Genomic DNA, 24807 nt, shown 5'->3' on the forward strand with positions numbered 1-24807 from the left:
GACTGCAGAGAAATTCAGTGACTTTGAGGTTGCAGACGGGGCTGATCCTGGTTTTGCAGGAAGCGCAGCTCATACAATTTGTGGGGACCCTCATTAGGAAAGAGTACAAAAAGTTACGCGCAGAAGGGTAGGAAAGTGAATGTATATTTAGAAAGAGAAAGAAAAAACAAATGATATTTTAAAAGTTAATAAAACCCACAAACATCACACACATAACCGTAATATTTTCATTGACTGCCTGATATTCTTCTACAGGGCGTCTGAGAGCCCAGAAACCTATTTTTTTCTAAAAGATTGAAGTCGCCCCCGACATTATGTATATTCACCTGTGTTTCCAGACTTTGGGAGCACCATTTATGATCATTTTTCCCACCTTTGTTTTGGCTGCGTACTTCTGATTGCCTTTTCCTATAACAATTATTTTGTAACTTTTTTTTTTTTTTTTTTTTTTTGTTTTTTGCAGACAGTCCTGCTGTGCCACCCAGGCTGGAGTGTAGTGGTGCAATTCGGTTCACTGCAACCTCTGCCTCCCGGGTTCAAGCAACTCTCCTGCCTCAGCCTCCCAAGTAGTTGGGATTACAGGTGCTCACCACCACGCCCGGCTAATTTTTGTAAACTTAGTAGAGTCAGAGTTTCCCCATGTTGGCCAGGCTGGTCTCAAACTCCTGACCTCATGTGATCTGCCCGCCTCAGCCTCCCCAAAGTGCTGGGATTACAGGTGAGAGCCACCGCGCCCGGCGTATTTTGTAATTCTCTATAAAGAAAAGAGAAAGATCAGTCTTTTCTCCAGCATGGCTGATTAAATTTGTTTCTTAATAATTGTTTATAAATTTATTTCAGCATCACAACTCATTACTGATATTGTTAACGTACTTTTTTAGGGTTATTGTTCAGTTTGGGAAACCTCTCTCAAGTTTCATGGATGTGCTATGAGATTTTTATGGCCGTTTGGCTGCTTCAGTGACAATTTTGTGTGTGGTTTTTACTGAAGCCCTAGAGAGTTTTTTTCTTTTTTTTGAGACGGAGTCTCTCTCTGTCGCCCACGCTGGAGTGCAGTGGCGCGATCTTGGCTCACTGCAAGCTCCGCCTCCAGGGTTCACGCCATTCTCCTGCCTCAGCCTCCTGAGTAGCTGGGACTATAGGTGCCCACCACCATGCCCGGCTAATTTTTTTGTATTTTTAGTAGAGACGAGGTTTCACCGTGTTAGCCAGGATGGTCTCAATCTCCTGACCTTGTGATATGCCCGCCTCGGCCTCCCAAAGTGCTGGGATTACAGGCGTGAGCCACCGCGCCTGGCCGAGGGTTTTTTTCAGGACAAGATTTGTATGCTGCATTCAGACAGGATCTCATTCATTACGGTGGATAAGACATATAACTTCACATACAGACAGACTCACTGTAGTACAACTATAAGTTTTTGTCCCATAAACATAGGGTTTCTAATCTATTCCCTTTTGCATGCTTCACATAAAAACATGAAGTATGGTGCAGTTATAATTGCAGATATGACTTAGATTCTCAGTGAGTGAGAACCTTCATTTTGATTAGGCATTGAGAGAATTGATCCCTCTCCTTATAATCTTCCACTTCTGATGGTTGGAAGCATATTTTTAAGTCTTTTAATTTTAATTACTCAAAGAAGCTTCATTTTTTATTTAGCTTTCTGACCCTGTGCTTGTGCCTTCAACACTCTCACAATGATTTTCTTTTCCTCGATAAGGAAAACATGCTTGATCCTGTCACAAACACATATAGCACACATGGAACCACCATAGGCCCTGCTGACATGGTTTTTTGTGTTTTGGACAATCTCATAAGACTTCGGGTCTTATAGCACGAACCCCTTGAAGTCTGCGTGGGTACACACCACAGTAGATTTTGGTGCTTTCCCAGCCTTCTTGGTATAAAGGTAAGCAATTATATTACCAGGGGTTCAGGACAGCCTAGTTTTATTAGAAGCTGTATTGTAGGAAAGCCTACAACAGTATGTCAAACGCTGGACCATTCTATGTGCCTATAGACAACATCCCCAGAAGAGGAAAAAGAATGGAAGAATTTTACTAGCTCTTTCTTTTCTTTCAAACCTTGTTGCTCCTCCACTACCCAAGTACTTCCTGTGTCAGGCAACATAGGGTTCCTTCGCCCTTTGGCCTTGCACTTTTGTGACATGGTGCTGGCTGAATTGACATAATGGGCAGTAGGTATATTCCAGAAAGCCATTCCTACACCCATGGTGAGCAATAATTTAAAAACATGCAGAAGTGACTGCAAACCACTTAAATGCATGCCACTGACCCCAAATTAAATGTATCCCTATTCATTGTCCCCTTAGCCAAATCCCCCACAAAGCCTATAGCCATTTCAATACCTCCTAACCAGAGGAGGATGACGAAGGGAAGTTAGAAACGAAGACAGAGGTCTTAAATATCTTACTCTCAAAACTGTTACAGAAGTGTATACTGCTAAGGCCGCTCTAAGGGCCTTGGGAGGGGCCTGTGTAAGCAAGGGGCCCTGAAGCTTGAGCTTCATTAACTTTATGGTAAACCCACTTCTAGTTGTAGAGGACTAAAAACTCTAATTCTACTGCTCTAAGGTCTGTGTTCTTCCCACTTAGCTTGGATCTTTATATTTAGCTTCATTAGCTTAAAAATATGCATATTATGTGCCTAACCTTCAAAATGTTATATATACATATATATTCCCCTGTGTTTTGCTCAGTGTTCTACCTTTAACATTCAATAACTGTTGGGATGATAATGAGTAGGGTAAATATAACCCTTCTTCATGAAATGCTAGATTCTGTTTTCCAAGTTTTCACGATAAGCATTTCTTTTGTAATCAGAAAAAAAGTTATTTTTTTAAAAAGTATACAATAATTATTAAAACCTATAGAATATACCTAGGAAGGTAGGTAAAATATGGTAATTAATTAATTACATGGACTTTTTATACAAAAATTAGCTGGGCGTGGTGGTAGGCACTTGTAATCCCAGCTGCTCAGGAGGCTGAGGCAGGAGAATTGCTTGAACCTGAGAGGTGGATGTTGCAGTGAGCCAAGATCACACCACTGCGCTCCAGCCTAGGTGATGGAGAGAGACTGTCTCAAAAAAAGACATACATTAAAAAAAATTATATGGACTTTTTTATTGTTTTGTAATTTAACATATTGAATATGGTTGGAAAACCCAAACATCCTCTAGACCAAGCATCTGAACCTCTTGCTAATCGAAACATCAAGGGCCATTGTGTAGGTGGTTGCCCTTAATGACTAAAAACATTAGGGGTTGGCACAGTGCGTCATGCCTGTAATCCCAGCACTTTGGGAGGCTGAGGCAGGAGGATTGTTCGAGCCCAGGAGTTTGAGAACAGCCTGGGCAGCATAGGAAGACCCTGTCTCTACAAAAAATAAAAAATTAGCTGGGCATGGTGGCATGTGCCTAGGGTCCAGCTACTTGGGAGGCTGAGGTGGAAGGATCACTTGAGCCTGGGAGGTCAAGGCTCCAGTAAACCATGATGGCGTCACTGCATTCCAGCCTGGGCGACAGAAGGAGACCCTGTTTCTAAAAAATAAAATTAAAAAATTAGAGAATATAACTTCGCTTTAACAGTTCACTGTGGGAGATGAGTTCCAGACACGCTCACCTGAATGTCTTATTAAACTGCAGATTCTGACTCAGTAGGTATAGAGGGAGGCCTGAGAGTATACATTTCTCATAAGCTTTCTGGTGATGCCGATGCTGCTGTCTACAGACCACACTTTGAATAGCAAGTCTAGGAAACGTGTTTTTCCCATGCTTTATTGAGTATAATTGTTGTATAATAAACTGCAAATATTAAAGTTTACAATATGATGAGTTTTGGCACAGGCATATACCTGTATAACCATTACCATAAAATAACAAACATCCATTACTGTTTTGTAATTCCTTCTTCCCCCAAGATTTTTCAATAGATCTTTGTTATAATGCACTTGTCACAGTAGAATCTAACTTACATAAACAGTTCAGCGCAACTATCTGTTTTTCTTTTCCTTTTTTTTTGAGACGGAGTCTCGTTCTGTCGCCCAGGCTGGAGTGCAGTGGCGCGATCTTGGCTCACTGCAAGCTCCGCCTCCCGGGTTCACGCCATTCTCCTGCCTCAGTCTCCTGAGTAGCTGGGACTACAGGCTCCTGCCACCACACCTGGCTAATTTTTTTGTATTTTTAGTAGAGACGGGGTTTCACCGTGTTAGCCAGGATGGTCTCAATCTCCTGACCTCGTGATGCGCCTGCCTTGGCCTCCCCAAGTGCTGGGATTACAGGCGTGAGCCACCGTGCCCGGCCAACTACCTGTTTTTCTATATCCCTGTCTTTTATATGTGAGGAGGCACACAGATTGATCAAAAAGGTGTATTTTTGAAAACTTTCAAATATCTTCTCCATGTCTGTTCTTTTATAAAAGAGGATACTTTTGGGTGTTCTGCCTATGGTGTACCCATTCTTTTATTCCTTTACTTTCTTAATAAACTTGCTTTCATTTAAAAAAAAAAAAAAGGATACTTTTTTTTTTTTTTTTGAGATGGAATCTCACTCTGTTGCCCAGGCCGGAGTGCAGTGGCGCGATCTCGGCTCACTGCAACCTCCGCCTCCTGGGTTCAAGCAATTCTCCTGACTCAGCCTCCTGAGTAGCTGGGATTACAAGAATGCACCACCAGCCAGGCGCGGTAGCTCACGCCTGTAATCCCAGCACTTTGGGAGGCCGAGGCGGGCAGATCGCGAGGTCAGGAGATCGAGACCATCCTGGCTAACACAGTGAAACCTCGTCTCTACTAAAAATACAAAAAATTAGCTGTGCGTGGTGGCGGGCGCCTGTAGTCCCAGCTACTCGGGAGGCTGAGGCAGGAGAATGGCTCGATCCCAGGAGGCGGAACTTGCAGTGAGCCGAGATCGCGCCACTGCACTCCAGCCTGGGTGACAGAGCAAGACTCCATCTCAAAAAAAAAAAAAAAAAAAAAAAGAAGAATGCACCACCATGCCCAGCTAATTTTTGTATTTTTAGTAGAGATGGGGTTTCACCATGTTGCCCAGGCTGGTCTCGAACCTCTGATCTCAGGTGATCTGCCTGCCTTGGCCTCCCAAAGTGCTGGGATTCCAGGCATGAGCCACCGCGCCCAGCCAAAAAAGGATACTTTCCAATCCGCAAACTTTGCTGTGTGAATTTCTTAAGCTCCATTCCATTCAATAATTTTCCACATGAAGTGTTTACCATTTCTGAAATGCTTTCTGAAATTTAGACTTTCCATTTGTTCTCTCCACATATTTTCATCTTTTCTGTAAATATCGTGGATCACTAGACAGGGACTGAGTTCAACTTTTTGTTTCCTGCTTTTTCTGGTGAACTAATAATCAGTACTCAGTAAAGTTTTGCAGTTAGTCTTATTTAGTAATGCAGTACCCTTTAGTAGTGAAAATTATTTTGTATTCCTTGACTGCAAGCACTTAGAGATCAAGGGGCATTTCCCTGGACTTCCACAGTCCCTAGCACAGGATAGGAAACATGGTAGGTGTTCAGAATGTCTTACTGAGTGAATGAATGAAGGTGTAATTACACTATTATGTACGATATCAGTTCAGCTCAACATACATGTAAGGAGTGCCTTGTATACCAGGTATTTTATTTTATTTTATTTATTATTATTTTTTTTTTTGAGATGGAGTCTCGCTCTGTTGTCCAGGCTGGAGTGCAGTGGGATGATCTAGGCTCATCACAACCTCTGCCTCCCGGGTTCAAGCAATTCTCCTGCCTCAGCCTCCTGAGTAGCTGGGACTATAGGTGCGCACCACCATGCTCAGCTAATTTTTGTATTTTTAGTAAAGACAGTGTTTCACTATCTTGGCCAGGCTGGTCTCGAACTTGACCTCGTGATCCGCCCACCTTGGCCTCCCAAAGCGCTGGGATTACAGGCATGAGCCACCATGCCTGGCCGTATACCAGGTATTTTAGGATACAAAGGTGAGTGCTGTGGTATCTACACCCAAGGTGTTTATGGTCCAGTAGGTGAGACTGTGGCAAAAGCACCAAATTAGGGCCAGGCTTCCAGTGCTGGAATTTTACCAACTCGTGACGTTGAGTCAGTTACTTTACTTCTGTTTCCTCCTTTATAAAATGAGAATAATAGTACTATCCCCCTCTTAGGCTGTTGAGAGGACTGAATCTATGAATACTGTACATGTAAAGCACATAGAAAAGGACCTGTTTGAGACTAGGCACAGTGGCTCACACCTGTAAACCCAGCACTTTGGGAGGCCAAGGTGGGAGGATCACTTGAGGCCAGGAGTTCAAGACCAGCCTGGACAACACAGCGAGACCCTGTCTTTACAAAAAATTTCAAACATTGGCCAGGTGTGGTGGTGCACACCTGTAGTCCTAGCTATTCAGGAGGCTGAGGTAAGTGGATATTTGAGGTTATAGTGAACTATGATCGTGCCACTATACTCCAGCCTGGGCAACATAGCAAAAAGGACTAGCCTGACACGTACTGGGCCTTTAGTAAATTTTGTCCACTATTATATACAATGCTCCCTTACAATGTAAAAGAGAGTTTGCACACTCGGGGCTCCCAAGATAAAGCCTACCCACTAGTATCTTTTATTTGGCTTGGAAGAATTAGCCCCTATAATGCTTTAAATTTGAATTGGTTGCTAGCATTTTAAAATCTGGAATTTTAATGTAAAAATCCAGATTTATGACTTACCTTAAAAAACTAAGAAATCTGGCAACTGTGGGCCTGACACTGGTGCTTGACAACAATGAGGTGCAGTTGTGTAGAGAATGCCTTCTTCAGGAGAGACATGTGCTCTCAAGTTCTCAACAGTCCCCCAGCCCATGGTGACAGACACTGTCCATGCTATCTATCATGGACCTATATTTGGTTTTGTAGAAAATGATAAAAATCAGTTTATCAGCTGGGCGCAGTGGCTCACACCTATAATCCCAGCACTTTGGGAGGCCAAGGTGGGTGGATCACCTGAGATCAGGAGTTCGAGACCAGCCTGGCCAACATGGCAAAATCCTGTCTCTACTAAAAATACAAAAATTAGCCAGGCGTGGTGGTGTGTGCCTGTAGTCCCAGCTACTCAGGATGCTGAGGCAGGAGAATCACTTGAACATGGGAGGTGGAGATTGGAGTGAGCCGAGATCGCGCCACCGCATTCCAACCTGGGCGACAAGAGCAAAGCTCTGTCTCAAAAAAAAAAAAAAAAATCGGTTTATCATCTTACACAGCTCTCTATCAATTTATATTGTTACTTGCCTGACCACTGTCTTAGTCTGCTTGAATTGCTATAACAAAATACCATTTACTGGGTAGCTTAAAAACAACAGAAATTTATTGCTCACCATTCGAGAGGCTGAGAAGTCCCAGATCAAGGCTCCAGCAGATTCAGTGTCTGGTGAAGTCCTGCTTCCTAGTTTATAGATGGCCATCCTCTGGCTGAGTCCTCACATGGTAGAAGGGACAAGGGAGCTCTCTGGAGTCTCTTTTATTTTATTTTTGAGACAGGGTCTCACTCTGTCACCCAGGCTGGAGTGCAGTGGCGCAATCTCACTGCAACCTCCGCCTCCCAGGCTCAGGTGATCCTCCCACCTCAACCTCCCAATTAGCTGAGACTACAGACACACTGCATCACACCTGGCTAATTTTTGTATTTTTTTTGTAGAGATGGGGTTTCTCAAGCTCGTCTTGAACTCCTGGACTCAAGTAATCCACCTGCCTCAGCCTCCCAAAGTGTTGGGATTACAGGTGTGAGCCACCATACCTGGCCTGGGGTCTCTTTTATAAGGGCTCTAATCCCATTCATGAGGGCTCTCCCCTCATGACCTCATAACCTCCCAAGGGCCCCACCTCCTATACCAACACATAGGGGATTAGGTTTCAACATACACGTTTTAGGAAGAGGTAAACATTCTGTCTACAGCACCACTGTAGGCATTCATAACTCCCTAAGATAGAAGAAAGAGGAATACACAATGTCTGGAAGGTTTGTGGATGGCTTCCACACAGGATAGAATTATCTGATTGGTCCCTGTGCTCCTTTACATCTGAAGGATGTGGAAACAATCAGATAGGCAGAAGGAATACCATCTGCTAATGCCCTGAGGGCTAAGAGAGCCTGGCATGTTTAGTTATCCCTGGCTGGAGCATTTACTGCAAGGGTGGAGAGATAGGAGATGAGCCTGGGGAGGCCAGCAGGGGCCAGGTGTGCAGGGCCTAGAAAGATTGGCCTGCGGTGGTCCTGTAGGTGGTGGGGAGCCAGTGAAGGATTTTATGCAAGGGAATGTCATGAAGGAGAGGCTGCAGGAGAGGCTGGCAGCAGGGAGCTCAGAATGGAGGTTCCCCTTACAGTCCAGGTGAAAATAATGAGATCTGGAAGAGAAGCAGGGTAGGGAGATGACAAGAAAGAGGAGATTAGTAGCACAGTCAATAGAGCCAGCAGAGCTAACCAGAGTAGGTGAGGGAATGGGAGTCCATTACATTTAACTGTGGCAATCTGAGACCCACTTTTTGGACCTCTGTCTCTTTATCTGTAAAAAGTAGAAACTGTTTCTGCCCTAGTTTCATCACATGATGTTGATAGGTCTAAGTTAACTTATCTCTGTGAAAGTGCTCTAGAAACTTTAAAATATGATAAATAGATAAGATATGGTTTTTATAGTCGCTATAATCATTTCTCTCTGGACTTCATGTCCAAAACACTCTTTTTTTTTTTTTTTTTTTTTGCTTTGAGACAAGGTCTCATTCTGTTGCCCAGGCTGGAGTACAGTGGTGCAATCACAGCTCATTGCAGCCTCGACCTCCCTGGGCTCAGGTGATTCTCCCACCTCAGCCTCCTAAGTAACTGGGATCACAGGCATACATGCCTGGCTAAATTTTTTTGTATTTTTTGTAGAGACAGGATTTTGCTATGTCGCCCAGGCTGGGCTCAAACTCCTGGGCTCAAGCAATCCACCCACCTCGGACTCCCAAAGTGCTGGGATTACAGGCATGAGCCACTGTGCACAGCCCCAAAACACTCTTAAGGGCCACTGTCCATTATGAAATTATACATATTTTTTTCAGATTCAAAAGTAAAGATGATTCTAACAAAAAAAAAATCAAATACCGGTGGGCAGATCACTTGAGGTCAGGAGTTCGAGACCAGCCTGGCCAACATGGCGAAACCCTGTCTCTACTAAAAATACAAAAATTAGCCTGGCGTGGTGGTACACGCTTGTAGTCCCAGCTACTCGGGTGGCTGAGGCAGGAGAATTGCTTGAACCCGGGAGGCGGAGCTTGCAGTGAGCCGAGATCACGCCACTGCACTCCAGCCTGGGCGACAGAGCAAGACTCTGTCTCAAAAAAAAAAAAAAATCTGTAAGTGTTTGATTTTTCTTTTTTTGAGACGGAGACTTGCTCTGTCGCCCAGGCTGGAGTGCAGTGGCGTGATCTCGGCTCACTGCAACCTCCGCCTCCCGGGTTCACGCCATTCTCCGTCTCAGCCTCCCAAGTAGCTGGGACTGCAGGCACTCGCCACCACGCCCGGCTAATTTTTTTGTATTTTTGGTAGAGACGAGGTTTCACCGTGTTAGCCAGGATGGTCTCGATCTCCTGACCTTGTGATCCGCCCATCTCGGCCTCCCAAAGTGCTGGGATTACAGGCATGAGCCACCGCGCCCAGCCAGAAATTTGTTTTTTAAAAAACAAGTCTCCCCAAATCCCATAACATTGACAATGTTGGGAGCGTTCTTCCACTTGTCTTGCAAACTGACATTCACATAGTAATAATAATGATAATTATTATGAAATAATATCCTCCAGTTACAGCAAGAAGACGTGAAAGGTTGGGAAAGGAGACCTCTGATTCCAAGGACTCGTTCAAAAGATGCTGAGACCGAGGCTTAAGCTTCAGGGCACCTCGGCCCCACCTGCTGGCCGGAGACGGTAGCGCTGCCCCAGCCGCTCAGTGCTTATGGGGCTGGCAGAGGGATGGGATGGGGCTGGCTGGGAAGAAGAGGTCGCTGAGGCCCCGCCTGGGAGCTGCAGAGCTGGGGCAAACCTGGGGCTCTGGGCAGGTCTGCCCCAGGCAGTATACTGTGGAGAATGAAACTTTTCTAAATGATCAATAAAAAAGCCAAAGTGGAGTCAGCTGTGCTGAAGGAAAGACTGAATTATCTTTCTATTCTCTCTATAGACAAATTATGAACTTACCATATGGAGACCAAGGAGTATGCAGTCAAAAAATGGAAGAAAAATGAGTACAGAGCTGTGTCATGAAGTTAAATAATACTAGCAATAATAATATAATAGGCCAGGCGCGGTGGCTCACACCTGTAATCCCAGCACTTTGGGAGGCCAAGGCAGGCAGATCACTTGAGGTCAGGAGTTTGAGACCAGCCTGGGCAACACGGTGAAACCCCACCTCTACTAAAAATACAAAATTAGCCAGTTGGGGTGGCACACACCTGTAATCGCAGCTACTCAGGAGGCCGAGGCAGGAGAATTGCTTGAACCCGGGAGGTGGAGGCTGCAGTGAGCCAAGATTGTGCCACTACACTCTAGCCTGGGCAACAGAGTGAGACTCTGTCTCAAAAAAGAAAATAAAATTGGCAAGTGCAAACAAATAGGAAGAGTGGGAACTGGGTCCCCAAGTGCTGAAAGGATGATCAGAAAGGGGCCATAATAATTGCTTAGTGCAGTTTGCGAAGGCTTCCTGGAGGAGGGGTATTTTTGAGACTTAATTAAAATCAACAAACAAAAAGATGTGAGAGGTGCAGTAAAAGGATCTGGGAGAAGGAGGTTGAACCTAAGAATGAGATATGTCAAGGAATCCATGATGACTATCGTTATCCCAGTGACTCTCATGTAAACAGAAGCTGGTCTTCTTTTATATTCAGTTGTGCTCACAAACCTGGCCCAGTTCCTGGCACACAGGAGATGCCCAATCAGTGTTTGTTGAACCGGCTGGGCACGGGGGCTCACACCTGTAATCCCAGCACTTCAGGAGGCCGAGGCAGGTGGATCATTTAAGGTCAGGAGTTCAAGACCACCGTGGCCAACATGGCAAAACCTCATCTCTACTAAAAAAATTACAAAAATTAGCTGGGCATGATGGCATGCGCCTGCAATCCCAGCTACTAGGGAGGCTGAGGCAGGAGAATCACTTCAACTCAGGAAGTGGAGGTTGCAGTGGGCTGAGATCATGCCACTGCACTCCAGCCTGGACAACAGAGCAAGACTCCATCTCAAAAAAAAAAAAAAAGTTTGCGGAACAACTGAAACTGTATGCAGAATTCCTGGCATGGCAATACCAGGAAGTTATAGGGGACCAATATCATCTCAATAGCTTTCTAACTATTAGAACTGACCATTAAAGAGTGCCAGTAATAGCTACCAAACGCCTCAAAAATGCCAGGAGCTAGGCTAAACTCTTTATATACATTGTCTCATGTTAGCTTGCAATAGCTGTTGAAGAATCATTGTCCCTATTTATTCATTTATTTTGAGATGGAGTCTTGCTCTGTTGCCCAGCCTGGAGTGCAGTGGCGTAGTCTCGGCTCACTGCAATCTCCACCTCCCAGGTTCAAGCGATTCTCCTGCCTCAACCTCCCAAGTAGCTGGAATTACAGGTGTCTGCCACCACGCCCGGCTAATTTTTGTATTTTTTTTAGTAGAGATGAGGTTTCACTGTGTTGGCCAGGCTGGTCTCGAACTCCTGACCTCTGGTGATCTGCCTGCCTCAGCTTCCCAAAGTGTTGGGATTACAAGCATGAGCCACCGTACCCAGCTTGTCCCCATTTAAAAATAAGGAAATTCCAGGTTCAGTTCAATTAAAACATAAAAGAAAAATTAGGAAACTATCCAGGCATGGTGGCTCACACCTGTAATCTCAGCACTTGGGGTTCTGAGATGGATGATGGCTTGAGGCCAAGAGTTCGAGACCAGCTTGGGCAACATAGTGAAACCTTGTCTGTACCAAAAAAAAAAAAAGGAAACTAAATTACAGAGGTGGCTGGGGGCGGTGGCTCACACCTGTAATCCCAGCACTTTGGGAGGCCGAGGCAGGCGGATCACGAGGTCAGGAGATCGAGACCATCCTGGCTAACACAATGAAATCCCATCTCTACTAAAAAATACAAAAAAAAATAATAATAAATTAGCCGGGCGCGGTGGCAGGCGCCTGTAGTTCCAGCTACTCGGGAGGCTGAGGCAGGAGAATGGCTGGAACCCGGGAGGCGGAGCTTGCAGTGAGCAGAGATCGTGCCACTGCACTCCAGCCTGGGAGACAGAGCGAGACTCTGTCTCAAAATAGATAGATAGATAGATAAATAAATAAATAAATAAATAAATAAATAAATAAATAAATTACAGAGGTTAAGCAACGTGCATAGGGTGCATGTTATCTATTTACCTGTAGATAGACTTTTGGATTTCTTCAAATTCTGGGCTAATACAAATTAAACTGCTATGAACATTTAGATACAAATCTTTGCATAGACATGATTTCATTCCTCTAGAACCTGATGTGTGTCCAAATCCCATCCTGAAGTTCTAGCAGTGCCTCCAGCCCTGGCTGGTTTTTGCCTCATGCATCTTGCTCACATGTGGGGTGAAATCCATCATTTTCCCTCCACAGATCTGATCAAGAGCATTCCTCAAGGGTATATCCTTGGAAGATCAAGGTCCGTATACAGCTTACCTCCCAAACCCCCATCCCCCTCAGTGGGATCTCCCAGGATATTAATAACGGTTAGTTAATTTTTTCTTTTTTTCTTTTTTCTTCTTCTTTCTTCTTTCTTCTCCTCTTCCTCTTTCTCCTTCTCCTGCTTCCTCTTCACCTTCCTCTTTTTATTTCCTCTTTTCTTTTCTTTCCTCCTCCTACTCTTCTTCCTCTTCTTCTTCCTCCTCCTCCTCCTTCTCCTTCTTCTCCTTCTCTCCTTCTTCTCCTCCTTCTTCTCATTCTTCTCCTTCTCCTCGGACAGGGTCTTGTTTTATTGTTCAGGCTGGAGTGCAGTGGCACTATCATGGCTTACTGCAGCCCCCATCTCCTGGGTTCAAGCCATCTTCCTGCCTCAGCTTCCCAAGAAGCTGGGACTACAGGCATGTGCCACCATACTCAGAAAAATTTTAAACTTTTTGTAGTGGTGGGGTCTCCCTATGATGCCCAGACTGGTCTCCAACTTCTGGGCTCAAGCGATCCTCCCATCTTGACCTCCCAAAGTTAGTTAATGTATTTCACATATACTATGCCCTACACGCTTTATCTATTTGGTATTATTTCTCAAATTTTTCTTGAAGTAGATGTTTATAGGTGAGGAAACAAAGGGTCAGGGAGATCTATAATAACAGAACATTACTCAACAGAGAGGTGAGAGAGGGCAGTGCTAAGCAGAGTAGACTCTAGAGCTGGTTTGCACAATTTTGGAGCCAGTTATACACTATCCTAGCTGTGTGATCTTGGGCATGTTGCATAACCACCCCATGCCTCAGTTGCTACGTCTGCAAAATGGAACAATAGTAATAGTACCTAATCAGGATGTTGTGTATGTTAACACATATAACCACACTTAGAATAGTGACTGGCACAGTTAATTCTCCATAAGTGTCAGCTATTTAATTATTGCTATTTTTATAAAACCCTCCCAGAGTCCTGAGTCAACAAGGGGATAAGAAAGATCCTGTCACCAGATGCCAGAACACAGGCAGAAATCCCAGCTCCTACTCCACATCCAGGCTGCTGTAGGTAAACCACTCAAGGGAACACTACACAAGAAGGAAAAGGCATTCCCAGCTGCCAGAAAACTATTCAAGATAAAATCTAGGTGTTTTTCTTTTTTACTGTAAAAGTACACGTTTGTTGTAGAAAATTTTGTTAACAGAATAATATAAAGAGAAAAATTTAGATAGAATTCTGCCACCAGAAAGCTTCTATTAACACAGGTTCTGTTAATACGATTGTTTCCTAGTGGGGTGCTTTCCTGGCCTGGCCCAGCAGAGGTTGCTGTTTGAGAAACAAAGCCCTCCTCCCATCTCTTTGCTTGGGGCTGGCCAGGGGAAAGCAAGATTTAAATCCAGTCTCATGGCGAGGGGTGCAGAGAGCTCTCAAAAGTGTGCACAGGATAGAGACAGTGTCGAGTGCCCATCAATAAGGGACAAGTGACATACATTATGGTACATCCATTCAGTGGAGTTCTAGTAGTTGTTAACAAGCATGCCCTAAAATGGAAAGATCTCAAAAATATATTACTATGTTACAAAAGCAAGGTGCAGAACCGTGTTTATAGTATGGTTCTTTTTTCTTTCTTTTTTTTTTTTTGAGACAGGCTCTCTCTCTGTCTGTCACCCAGGCTGGTATGCAGTGGTGCAATCACAGCTCACTGCAGCCTTGACCTCCCAGCCTCAAGCAATCCTTCTCCTTCAGCCTTTGGAGTAGCTGGGACCATAGATGTGCGCCACCATGCCTGGCTAATTTTTAAATTTTTAGTAGAGACAAGGTCTCACTATGTTGCTCAGGTTGATCTCCAACTCCTGGGCTTGAGAGATCCTCCCCACTCAGCCTCCCAAAGTGCTAAGATTACAGACATGAGACACCATGCCCAGCCATATAGTAGGGTTCTTTTGGATTGAAATATGTATGTAGATTAAAAAATAAAAATATATGGGATATATATGGGTGAGATTTAACCTTTCATTTCCTACTTTCTGTACTGTTTGAATTTTCCAGTCTTCCACATGCATTATTTTTTAAATGCCACTGAGAATTAACTGGGAAGGAAGATTATGGCTTATTTCAAAAATCTTTCTATTGTGTACATACTTGTATTTTTTTTTTTTTTTAGACGGAGTCTTGCTCTGTTGCCCTGGCTGGAGTGCAATGGCGCGATCTTGGCTCACTGCAATCTCCGCCTCTTGGGTTCAAGCAATTCTCCTGCCTCAGCCTCCCAGGTAGCTGGGACTGTAGGTGCCCACCACCACGCCCAGCTAATTATTGTATTTTCAGTAGAGACGGGGGTTTTACCATGTTGGCCAAGCTGGCCTCGAACTCCTGACCTCAGGTTATCCACCCACCTCAGTTTATCCACCCGCCTCAGTTTATCCACCTGCCTCAGCCTTCCAATGTGCTGAGATTACAGGCCTGGGCCACCGCACCTGGCCCATACTTGTATTTTTTAAAAATAATCTTTTCCTCAAAGCCTATTGTAGGATTTTTTTGAGCTACAGCACCTGTTGCTACCATAGCTGCTATGCCTCCTAGTGCCTGACACATAATAAATATTGAGCAAACATTTGTTCAATGGGTGAATAAATCTAATATAAAGGTCAGAAGCATTTCTTTTTAGCTTTATTTCCCTTCAGAGAATATTTCCTGAATTAAATTTACTGCATCTTCCCCTCTAGTGTTCCTACAGTCCCTGAAGGGCAGGTTAGGTGACAAGGTTATCTTAAACTCACCTTTTGCAGCTTTCCTCTTCTGCCAAAAGCTCAACCATCTGACACATTCATTGCAAAATTATGTAGCTGGGCACAATGGCTCACACCTGTAATCCTAGCACTTTGGGAGGCTGAGGTGGGCGGATCACTTGAGCCCAGGAATTTGAGACCAACCTGGGCAATATGGTGAAACCCCATCTCTACAAAAAATACAAAAAATGAGCTGCGCGTGGTGGCATGCGCCTGTAGTCTCAGCTACTCAGGAGCCTGAGGTGGGAGGATCGCTTGAGTCCAGGAAGTTGAGGCTGCAGTGAACCATGATCGCACAACTGCACTTCAGCTTGGGTGACAGAGAGAGACTCTGTCTTAAAAAAAAAAAAAAAAAGAAGTATGTACTGGTCACTTACTGCAAAGGACAGAACAAAGAGCTGCTGCTAATTTCTTGGAAAGATTTTCCTAGTGAAGTTATTCATTTAACAAACATTAATTGAGCACCTACCATATATTCCTGGCGCAGGATGATTGGGGTGGTCTCTGTTCTAATGTACCCTGAGGCCTGAGCACCATGGATCTCAGCCCTATCAGACCCAAAGCCTCTTTGTTAAACAGACAGTTTTTAATATCCCTTTTACCATGTGAAAGAAATTCATAAATAAAACAACATATGTACCCAATGAATTTGTAAATGTCCTAATTGTAATATAAAGGAGACATACAGGGAAAGTGACTAATAACAAAACTGTGAATGTTTGTACATGACTCCTAGGATGATCATGAAGTGGTCAGAGGTTTGAACCTATCCATGGAACCACCCTGAATACATCTGCTGCAAATGCAGATGGATACCAGCTTCTCTGTGGGTGATGTGATCTTTTAAATTTCAAACAACCCTTGAGAAACAAATTAGTTTCAGTAATAGATGCTTTCTTGAAAAATTCATCATATGTTAAAACCATGCACAAATTCACCGTGTTTATTTGTAAAAACGCAGGTTCTAGGCTCAGATAATTATAGATTGTGTTTTTGTCGCCATAACTGTCCAGGGACGAGGGATGTTGAGTGAACTGACCTGTGCATTGCAGGACATCTGGCATCCCCTGCCCCACCCAGCAATCACCAGGCCCATCCTCTCCAGGCCTGAGCCTTTTCTCCTCTGAGAAGAGATCCCCCACTGTTGAGAACACTGGGTCCAGGGGCTGCTATGTGAGGCGTCAGAGGCAGGAACTCTGAAAAGTCAGAAGCAGCCCTGTCTCACTGCATATCTTCAAGCACCAGGAAGTCCTGACACCCAGGAAAATGTGGTGTGCAAACCCCAGAGCAGGGACTAGGGTGATGGATTCCCAGGTGTCACACAGCAGGATTCTGGCTGGAACAGACATAAAGGTGATAATCGAATAAAACCCCCAGTAAGAAGGACCTTATAATAAGTACCAAGAGAGCAGGCCAGCCATGCTCTCCCTCATGACACAGGCATGTGTGCCAGGCTACATCTATTTAAAACAAAACAACTTTTTAAGGTGTCTGGGAAGCAGGGCTATGGTGGCTGTTGTATTAGGTGCAGAACAGGTGAGAGGCTCATAGTACATACAGCACACATCAGTCAAAAGGCAGACAGGCAGGGGATAAGGCAATATTTTCTTATATAATTTTTATTCCTTATGTAATTTATTTATTAATCCTTAATATTAATTATATTTAGTATATTTTATACTCAATATATTTTAATATATCATGTATTTTAATAAATATAAAATATAAATATATTCTACAACTATAATCAAATAATATAATCATATAAATATTAATGATTAATATTAATCATTAATAAAGAAATATCCAGTCAGGCTTGGTGGCTGATGCCTGTAATCCCAGCATGTTGGAAGGTTGGAAGGAGGATCACTTGAACTCAGGAGTTTGAAACCAGCTTGGGCAACATAGTGAAACCTTGTCCTTACCAAAAAAAAAAAAAAATACAAAAATTAGCCAGCTATGGTGGCTCATGTCTCTAGCTCCAGCTACTCAAGAGGCTGAGGTGAGAGGATCGCTTGAGCCTGGGAGGCAGAAGTTGCAGTGAGCCGAGATCACGCCACTACACTCCAGCCTGGGTGACAGAGCGAGACTCCGTCTCAAAAAAAAATCCTTTATTTCTTATTAACTTATTTTCTAATAATATATTTACTTTTTAATTATCACAAAATAATAGATATTTGTGGGAAAAAAATAAAAGATTAACACAGCACTGAAGGGTATAAGGGTGAAAAGTAAAATTCCTCTTCCCTACCCTAACTTCCCAGTCCCACTTCCCAGGATTGAGTTTCTACTTATTTATTTATTTATGTATTTATTTATTTTTCAAGGCAGAGTCTTGTTCTGTCACCCAGGCATGATCATGGCTCACTGCCACCTCAACCTCCCAGGCTCAAGCAATCCTCCTGCCTCAGCCTCCCCAGTAGCTGGACTACAGGGGTGTACCACCACACCTGGCTAATAAAAAAATTTTTTTTTTTTTTGTAGAGACAGGGTCTCCCAACCAGCCTGGTAACACGGTGAGACCCCATCTCTACAAAAAAAAGTAAAAAAATTAGTCGGCTGGGCGTGGTGGCTCACACCTATAATCCCAGCACTTTGGGAAGCCAAGGTGGGTGGATCACCTGAGGTCAGGAGTTCGAGACCAGCCTGGCCGACGTGGTGAAACCCTGTCTCTGCTAAAAATACAAAAACTATCTGGGCATGGTGGTGGGTCCCTGTAATCCCAGCAACTCAGGAGGCTGAGGCAGGAAAATCGCTTGAACCCAGGAGGCGGAGGCTGCAGTGAGCTGAAATTGCACCATTGCACTCCAGCCTGGGCAACAGAGCAAGCTTCTGTCTTAAAAAAAAAAAAAAAAGGCCGAGCACAGTGGCTCATGCCTATAATCCCAGCACTTTGGGAGGCTGAGATGGGCAGAGCACGAGGTCAGGAGTTTGAGACCAGCCTGACCAACATGGTGAAACCCTGTCTCTACTAAAAATACCAACAAAATATCCAGGCGCGGTGGTGTGTCTGTCCTCCCAGCTACTCAGGAGGCTGAGCAGCAGAATCGCTTGAACCCAGGAGGCAGAGGTTGCAGTGAGCTGAGATCATGCCACTGCACTCCAGCCTGGGCGACAGAGCGAGACTCCGTCTCAAAAAGAAAAAAAAAAAAAAAAAAATTAGCCAGGTGTGGTGGCACATGCCTGTAATCCCAGTTACTCAGGAGGCAGGAGAATCGCTTGAACCCAGAAGGTGGAGATTGCAGTGAGCCAAAATCGAGCCATTGCACTCCAGCCTGGGCGACAGAGTGAGACTCCATCTCAAAAAAAAAGAAAAAGAAAATGGTATCTTGGCTGGGTGTGGTGGCTCACGCCTGTAATCCCAACACTTTGGGAGTCTAAGGCAGATGGATCACCTGAGCGCAGGAGTTCCAGACTAGCCTGGCCAACATGGGAAAATCCTGTCTCTACTGAAAATACAAAAATTAGCTGGGCATGGTGGCATATGCCTATAATCCCAGCTATTTGGGAGGCTGAGGCAGGAGAATCACTTGAACCCGGGAGGCAGAGGTTGCAGTGAGCCAAGATCGTGCCACTGCAATATAGTCTGGGTGACAAAGCAAGACTCCATCTCAAAAAAAAAAGAGAGAGAGAAAAGAAACTGTATCTTTTCCATATTGTTTTATTGTGTAGCTTGCTCCCCCCTCAGCAATATATCATTATCCCATGACAATCAGTGTTATTTCACAACACAATTTTAATTAATTTTTTTTTTTTTGAGACAGGATCTCACTTTGATGTTTAGGCTGGAGTACAGTGGCTTGATCTTGGCTCACTGCAGCCTTGACTTTCTGGGCTCCAGTGATCCTCCTGCCTCAGCCTCCTGAGTAGCTGGGACTACAGGTACACACCACCACACCTGGCTAAGTTTTTGTATTTTTTGTAGAGATGGGGTTTCTCCATGTTGCCCAGGCTGGTCTAGAACTCCTGGCCACAAGCAATCTGCCCACCTTGCCTCCCAAAGTGCTAGGATTACCTAGGCGTGGACCACCGTGCTTGGCCACAACACAATTTTTAATAGTTGAACAGCATTCTGTCTTATGGATGTACCATAATTCACCCAAGCAATCCTCTATTGGTGCTGCTTTATCAGATCAGATGTGGAGAGGTCAAGTGACCAGCAACACATATTCCCTGTGCACCTCTTCTGTGTTCAGTGTGTGCTGAGGGGAGGAGAGAAGGGCAGGTCATGGCCGTGTCTTCAGGAAGCCAACCATCCACAAACACGGCTCCAGGAATGACACGAGACTGTGTGTTGCTAACTTGGGAGGTTATGAATGTGCTGGAGTTGAAGAAGTGAGTGATGGAGCAATGGAGGGTTGCCGTGGTGAGGTTAGACTGTGGTATCAGGCAGACCTGGGTTTGAGTCCAGGCTTGGCTGCCAAACAACTTGAGTAACCAGGTTTTGGGTAAGTTACTTGGTCCTGTCCCAAAGCCCCAGCAACTTCATTTGTAAAATAAATTGTGGTATCTATACAATGGAATATTATTCAGCCATAAAAAGGAATAAAGTTCTGATACATGCAATAACATTAGATGAACCTCAAAAACACTACACTAAGTGAAAGAAACCAGGCACAAAAGATCACATCTTGTATGACTCCGTTTTATTTTTTTAAGAGACAAGGTCGGCTGGGCATGGTGGCTCACGCCTGTAATCCAGCACTTTGGGAGGCTGAGGTGGGCGGATCACTTGAGATCAGTAGTTGGAGACCAGCCTGAGCAACATGGTGAAACCCCGTCTCTACTAAAAATACAAAACTTAGCTGGGCATGGTGGCACACGCCTATAGTCCCAGCTATTCGGGAGGCTGAGGCATGAGAATCGCTCGAACCTGGGAGGCGGAGGCTGCAGTGAGCCAAGATCATGCCACTGCACTCCAGCCTGGGCGACAGAGCAAGACCCTGTCTCGGGAAAAAAAAAGAGACAGGGTCTCTCTCTCACCCAGGCTGGAGTGCAATGGTGTCATCATAGCTCATTGCAGCCTCAAATTACTGGGCTCAACTGATTCTCCTGTGTCAGCCTCCCAAAGTGCTGGGATTACAGGCATGAGCCACTGCGTGCAACTCTAACCATCCTATTTAAAAGTGTAATCTCCACCCTATTCCCTATCCCCCTTCCCAGACTATATGGACAAGAAATCAGGGGTTAAGTGTTGGCCCAAGTCACTACCAGTTGACGGAAAAGACCCTACCACTTCTAACAAAAAACATAATTATACCACACTAAATTATTGTATAATCATGTATTGATTTTGTTTATTGTCCCCAAGATGGCTGAGATTTTGCTGTTTTGTTCCCTGCTGTGTTCACAGGGCCTAGAACAGGTAAGCTCAAGCGAGGTGCTCCATGAATACCTTGTGAATGTGTCAGTTCCCAGAGGCCAGGACGTCTTCCAGGAGATGCATGGAATGGAGGGGCCGGGGCCAGAGAGAAGGTCTGCGGCTGAGTGAGGGACCTTAGGGGCTCAGAAATCCTAAACTTCTGGCCAGGCGTGGTGGCTCATGCCTGTAATCCCAGCTTTTTCGGAGGCCAAGATGGGCGGATCGCTTGAGGCCAGGAACCCTGTCTCCACAAAAAATACAAAAATTAGCCAGGCTTGGTGGTGCCTGCCTGTAATCCTAGCTACTCAGAAGGCTGAGGCAGGATAATCACTTGAACCTGGGAGGCAGAGTTTGCAGTGAGCCGAGATCATGCCACTGCACTCCAGCCTGGGTGACAGAGTGACTCTGTCTCAAAAAAAAAAAAGAAATACTAAACTTCTGGTTGATTTTCTGATTGTTCTGAGAGAGGTTGGGAAGGAGGGCACACTGACCAGATGGTAGGTTCCAGCAGAGCCAGGGCATAACTGTTTTTCCCCAAATGGATTGTCTGAGTACACAGTTGTCATCTCAAGGTCCAGTCCCTCTGGGGTTCCCGTGGAAGAAATAGCTTCATTCCTGGATGCTCCTCAATGGCTGGAAGGGAGTAGGAAAGCTCTGAGACAGGTGACCCTGGCTTTCCCATGGTCTCCAATGGAGTGCCAGGAGTCCACAGGGTAGTGGCAGAAATGGAGTGGGGTTTGGAGGGGGTGAGCAGACCCATCTATACCACGTACAAGCTATGGAAGCTTGGGCACCTCATCTACATTCTCAGAACCTCAGTTTCCCAACCTGTCAAATGGGAGAAACAGTGCATAAAGAGTGGATTGTCGGGGAATTTGTCAAGGTAATAATGCACAGAACACCTAGAAAAGTGCCGAGCCCAGCACAGACACTGCTTTCTCCTTCTTGCCATAGGCCGCAGTGGGCTGTAGGGCTTCACTGGATTGTAGAGTCACTGCTCATTTCTAGGTGGGTGTGTTTGAGAGCAAAGCCTCAGCAGGTTTGCAACTGGAACCTCCATGCAGCACACTGTTGATCAGAGTCCACGAAAAGGTCCTGTAATAAAAGCCCAACATATTCATTCCTAAGGGTTTTTATCGGTGGTCAGATGAACACACGACTCCATCTCCAGCGGAGCCGGGGAAACGAGGCGAGCTGCCTGGGCAGTTTGGGGCCACCTTCTGTCTGCCAGACCTGGTGCGATATGATGGACAGTGAGGGCCTGCCCCAGGGCCTTCTACAGAGCCTCAGACACTGGGGGTGCGGGGAGAGTCTGGATCATTGAGGGGACACACATCCAATCCCAGCACAGGAGGGTCCAGGTGGCACAAGTGAAAAGCCCACCAGGCATTTGGCCGTCTCCGTCTGTCCGCGCTGTTCCTGCAACTCAACACGGCGCCGCTCTTTTTCCGTTCTCTGAAGCTGCCTCCGGCAGATGGCTGAAATGCCCCTCTGAGCCAGGAGGCACCTGCGCTACGTGCGGGAAGTGGTCGGACTCCCAAGGTCATCTCCTCTCTGGAGTCATTTCCTCTCCTGAGATGACAACTCTGTTCTCAGAGTGTCCTTGATGCTCAGGCATTGCAGGTTCCCTCTCTGCACCCAGGGTCCCAGGACAGGTCCAGAGCCCCATCATGGGACTTGGTGAGAATCTGGAGCTGGTGCTCTTCCGGGGCCACTCTGGACAGGGATGGGGAAAGTTGATTGGAGTCTCTGAGGCAGAGAGAGGGAGAGGAGCCAGGCCTCAGGCTTTCCAAACCCTTCTCCTTCTGGTGATTTGAGGTTGGTGGATAATCCTTGTGCTGCTTCCCTCTCCCGGCTGCTGGCTTTCAGATCATATTTCACTGTTCACTGAGGTTTCTACCAAAGAGTGCCAGGAGAAAAGAAAAGAGATAAAAAATACCAAATCGTTTAATGAGATTATCTACTTGCAACTCTAAGTTTAAAAAAAAAAATTGGCCAATGGGGAGAATAAAACCTGACCAAAAAGAGTACTGGAAAGATTATAGGTTGATTTCAATTCTGCCATATTTTACCTTCTGATGTACAATTGAGAAATGGTTGAAAATAAATTAATACTTAAGTACTGTACACATAGGGTGTTCCAAAGACTCAGACAGAGCAGTTAAATTTCCAGATCCCCTACCAAAGCCCCCAGAGCCTGCTCATGTGGTAGGAAAGTGAGTTATGATTATGGAGTCACAGAATTCTAGAAATCCTCTATTCCAGTCTTCGAATCAGGCCGCATATTGGAATCACCCGGGGAGCTTTAAAAATTCCTAATATTGGGGTCCCACCCGCCCCAAGAGACCTAGATTTCTTTCATCTGGGGTGCAGCCCGGTATCCAAATTTTAAAAATGCCCCCAGGAGATTCTGATATGCAGCTAAGTTTGGGAAGCACCCCATCTTCTCCTTTGACACATCTGGAAACTAAGGCTCAGAGAGGAAAGGCCTCGCCTGAAGTTACCAAGGCGGCCTTGTGGGCCTCCATCCCTTGGGCCCAGTTTCCTCAGCATGTTGTCACAAGTCCCCTCCTCAGGGAAATCACAGATTCTCATTCCTGATAAGCGCTGTCCTCCCGCATCCCATCCCCCCTCGCGCCCTAGGTGTGACTGATTGGCATGCTAATTCCCCACCGGCATCACCCTCTGGGGGGCTTCACAAGTACCTGTCAGCTGACCACTTCCTCTTGCCGCTCCTCCAAGGCTTCAAAAACCCAGGAGAAACTTAATATGGCCCCAAGACCCTTTCATCCCATGGCTGCCTTTCATCTGAGCCTTTGAAAGTGCCGTGAAAAGTTTCAACTATCAAAGAACCCCCAGGAAGAAGGCAGCAGGCAAGGACCACTTCCCCATTTCAATGCTGGCAAAACTGAGGCTCTGGGAGAAGCTGACAGTTGCTCCAGGCTGTAAAGCTGCAAATCTTCAGCTCTGCCCTCTGGTTCCTTTTTGAGATAAATCAGTTGACAGAAACCTGTAGGGGCTGAAAGAACCCCTGCTGAGTCTTCCAGAAAGAGATAGTGAACCAGACAGTTGCTCTTGGGTGGACACTGTCCCTTGTCCTTGTCCTTATCCTCTTGAATCTCAGCAACTTGAATGGGTTCCTTACCTCTGCACCCTCAGGAGTTGGGGTTCCAGCATTTCCTACAACCACTGCCTGAGCGACCACCATTTGAGCTGGTCACTGAGTTTGCCATTAACATGGAGTCCTGCCCACCAGGAGCTCACAGACCAGATGGGATCCAAGATGAGCACACCTGAAAAAACACTGACTTTGCAGAGCAGTGTGGTGAGATGTGACAGACTGGCAGTGTGAGTGCCTGCCAGGGGCCTGGCCAGGTGGAGGCCATGGACGGCAGGAGGGGCTGTCGACTGAGCTAAAGTGAGTGTCTCCACCTCATGAAATCTGCAGCATCAATAACATCAGCACCAACATTAGTGTAGGAAGAATCACCAAGATACTCCATGAGCAGTGGTTTGTAATGTGTTCATTACTATGCACACGTTGGTTTTGGCTTGTATGGGCAGGGCTGTACAGCTTAAAAAATGTAAATATGCCAGGCACAGTGGCTCACACTTGTCATCCCAGCACTTGGGAGGATCGCTTGAGGCCAGGAGTTGGAGGCAAGCCTGGGCAATATAGTGAGACCTCATCTCTATTAAAAAAAAAAAAATTCAAAATTAATCAGGCATGGTGGCATGCACCACCTATAGTCCTAGCTACTTGGGAGGCTGAGGTGTGAGGATAGCTTGAACCCAGGAGTTGGAGGCTGCAGTGAGCTATGATTGCACCACTGCACTCCAGCCTGGGCAATAGAGTGAGACAGTGTCTCAAAAAAAAAGTAACTAGGTAAGCTCATGTGTTCACTGCTGGCACATTTTGCAAAAGAGAAAACCGATGCTCAGAGAGGTTAAGGGACTTGCCTGAGGGCC

At 45.5% G+C, this 24807-nt stretch overlaps 1 long non-coding RNA gene and 1 pseudogene across 1 annotated transcript, besides 2 other annotated features; one reads left to right on the top strand and one right to left on the bottom strand.

Moving 5' to 3' along the window:
• Window positions 681-10159, top strand: LOC101927247 (uncharacterized). The gene is made up of 2 exons (XR_001738504.2): window positions 681-718; window positions 9837-10159. It is a non-coding gene; the product is annotated as an uncharacterized LOC101927247 (long non-coding RNA).
• RPL34P7 (ribosomal protein L34 pseudogene 7) lies at window positions 1616-2048 on the bottom strand (annotated as a pseudogene).
• Window positions 16233-16734: an enhancer, noted in NCBI's record as "H3K27ac hESC enhancer chr1:226391149-226391650 (GRCh37/hg19 assembly coordinates)". NCBI's record gives its function as "activates a minimal SCP1, AML or CMV promoter by ChIP-STARR-seq in primed H9 embryonic stem cells {active_cell/tissue: H9 hESC(primed)}" and the evidence as "EXISTENCE:reporter gene assay evidence [ECO:0000049][PMID:30033119]".
• Window positions 23259-23980: an enhancer, noted in NCBI's record as "NANOG-H3K4me1 hESC enhancer chr1:226398175-226398896 (GRCh37/hg19 assembly coordinates)". NCBI's record gives its function as "activates a minimal SCP1, AML or CMV promoter by ChIP-STARR-seq in naive H9 embryonic stem cells {active_cell/tissue: H9 hESC(naive)}" and the evidence as "EXISTENCE:reporter gene assay evidence [ECO:0000049][PMID:30033119]".

Source organism: Homo sapiens, chromosome 1 (assembly GCF_000001405.40).
Source record: "Homo sapiens chromosome 1, GRCh38.p14 Primary Assembly".
Taxonomy (NCBI): Eukaryota; Metazoa; Chordata; class Mammalia; order Primates; family Hominidae; genus Homo; species Homo sapiens.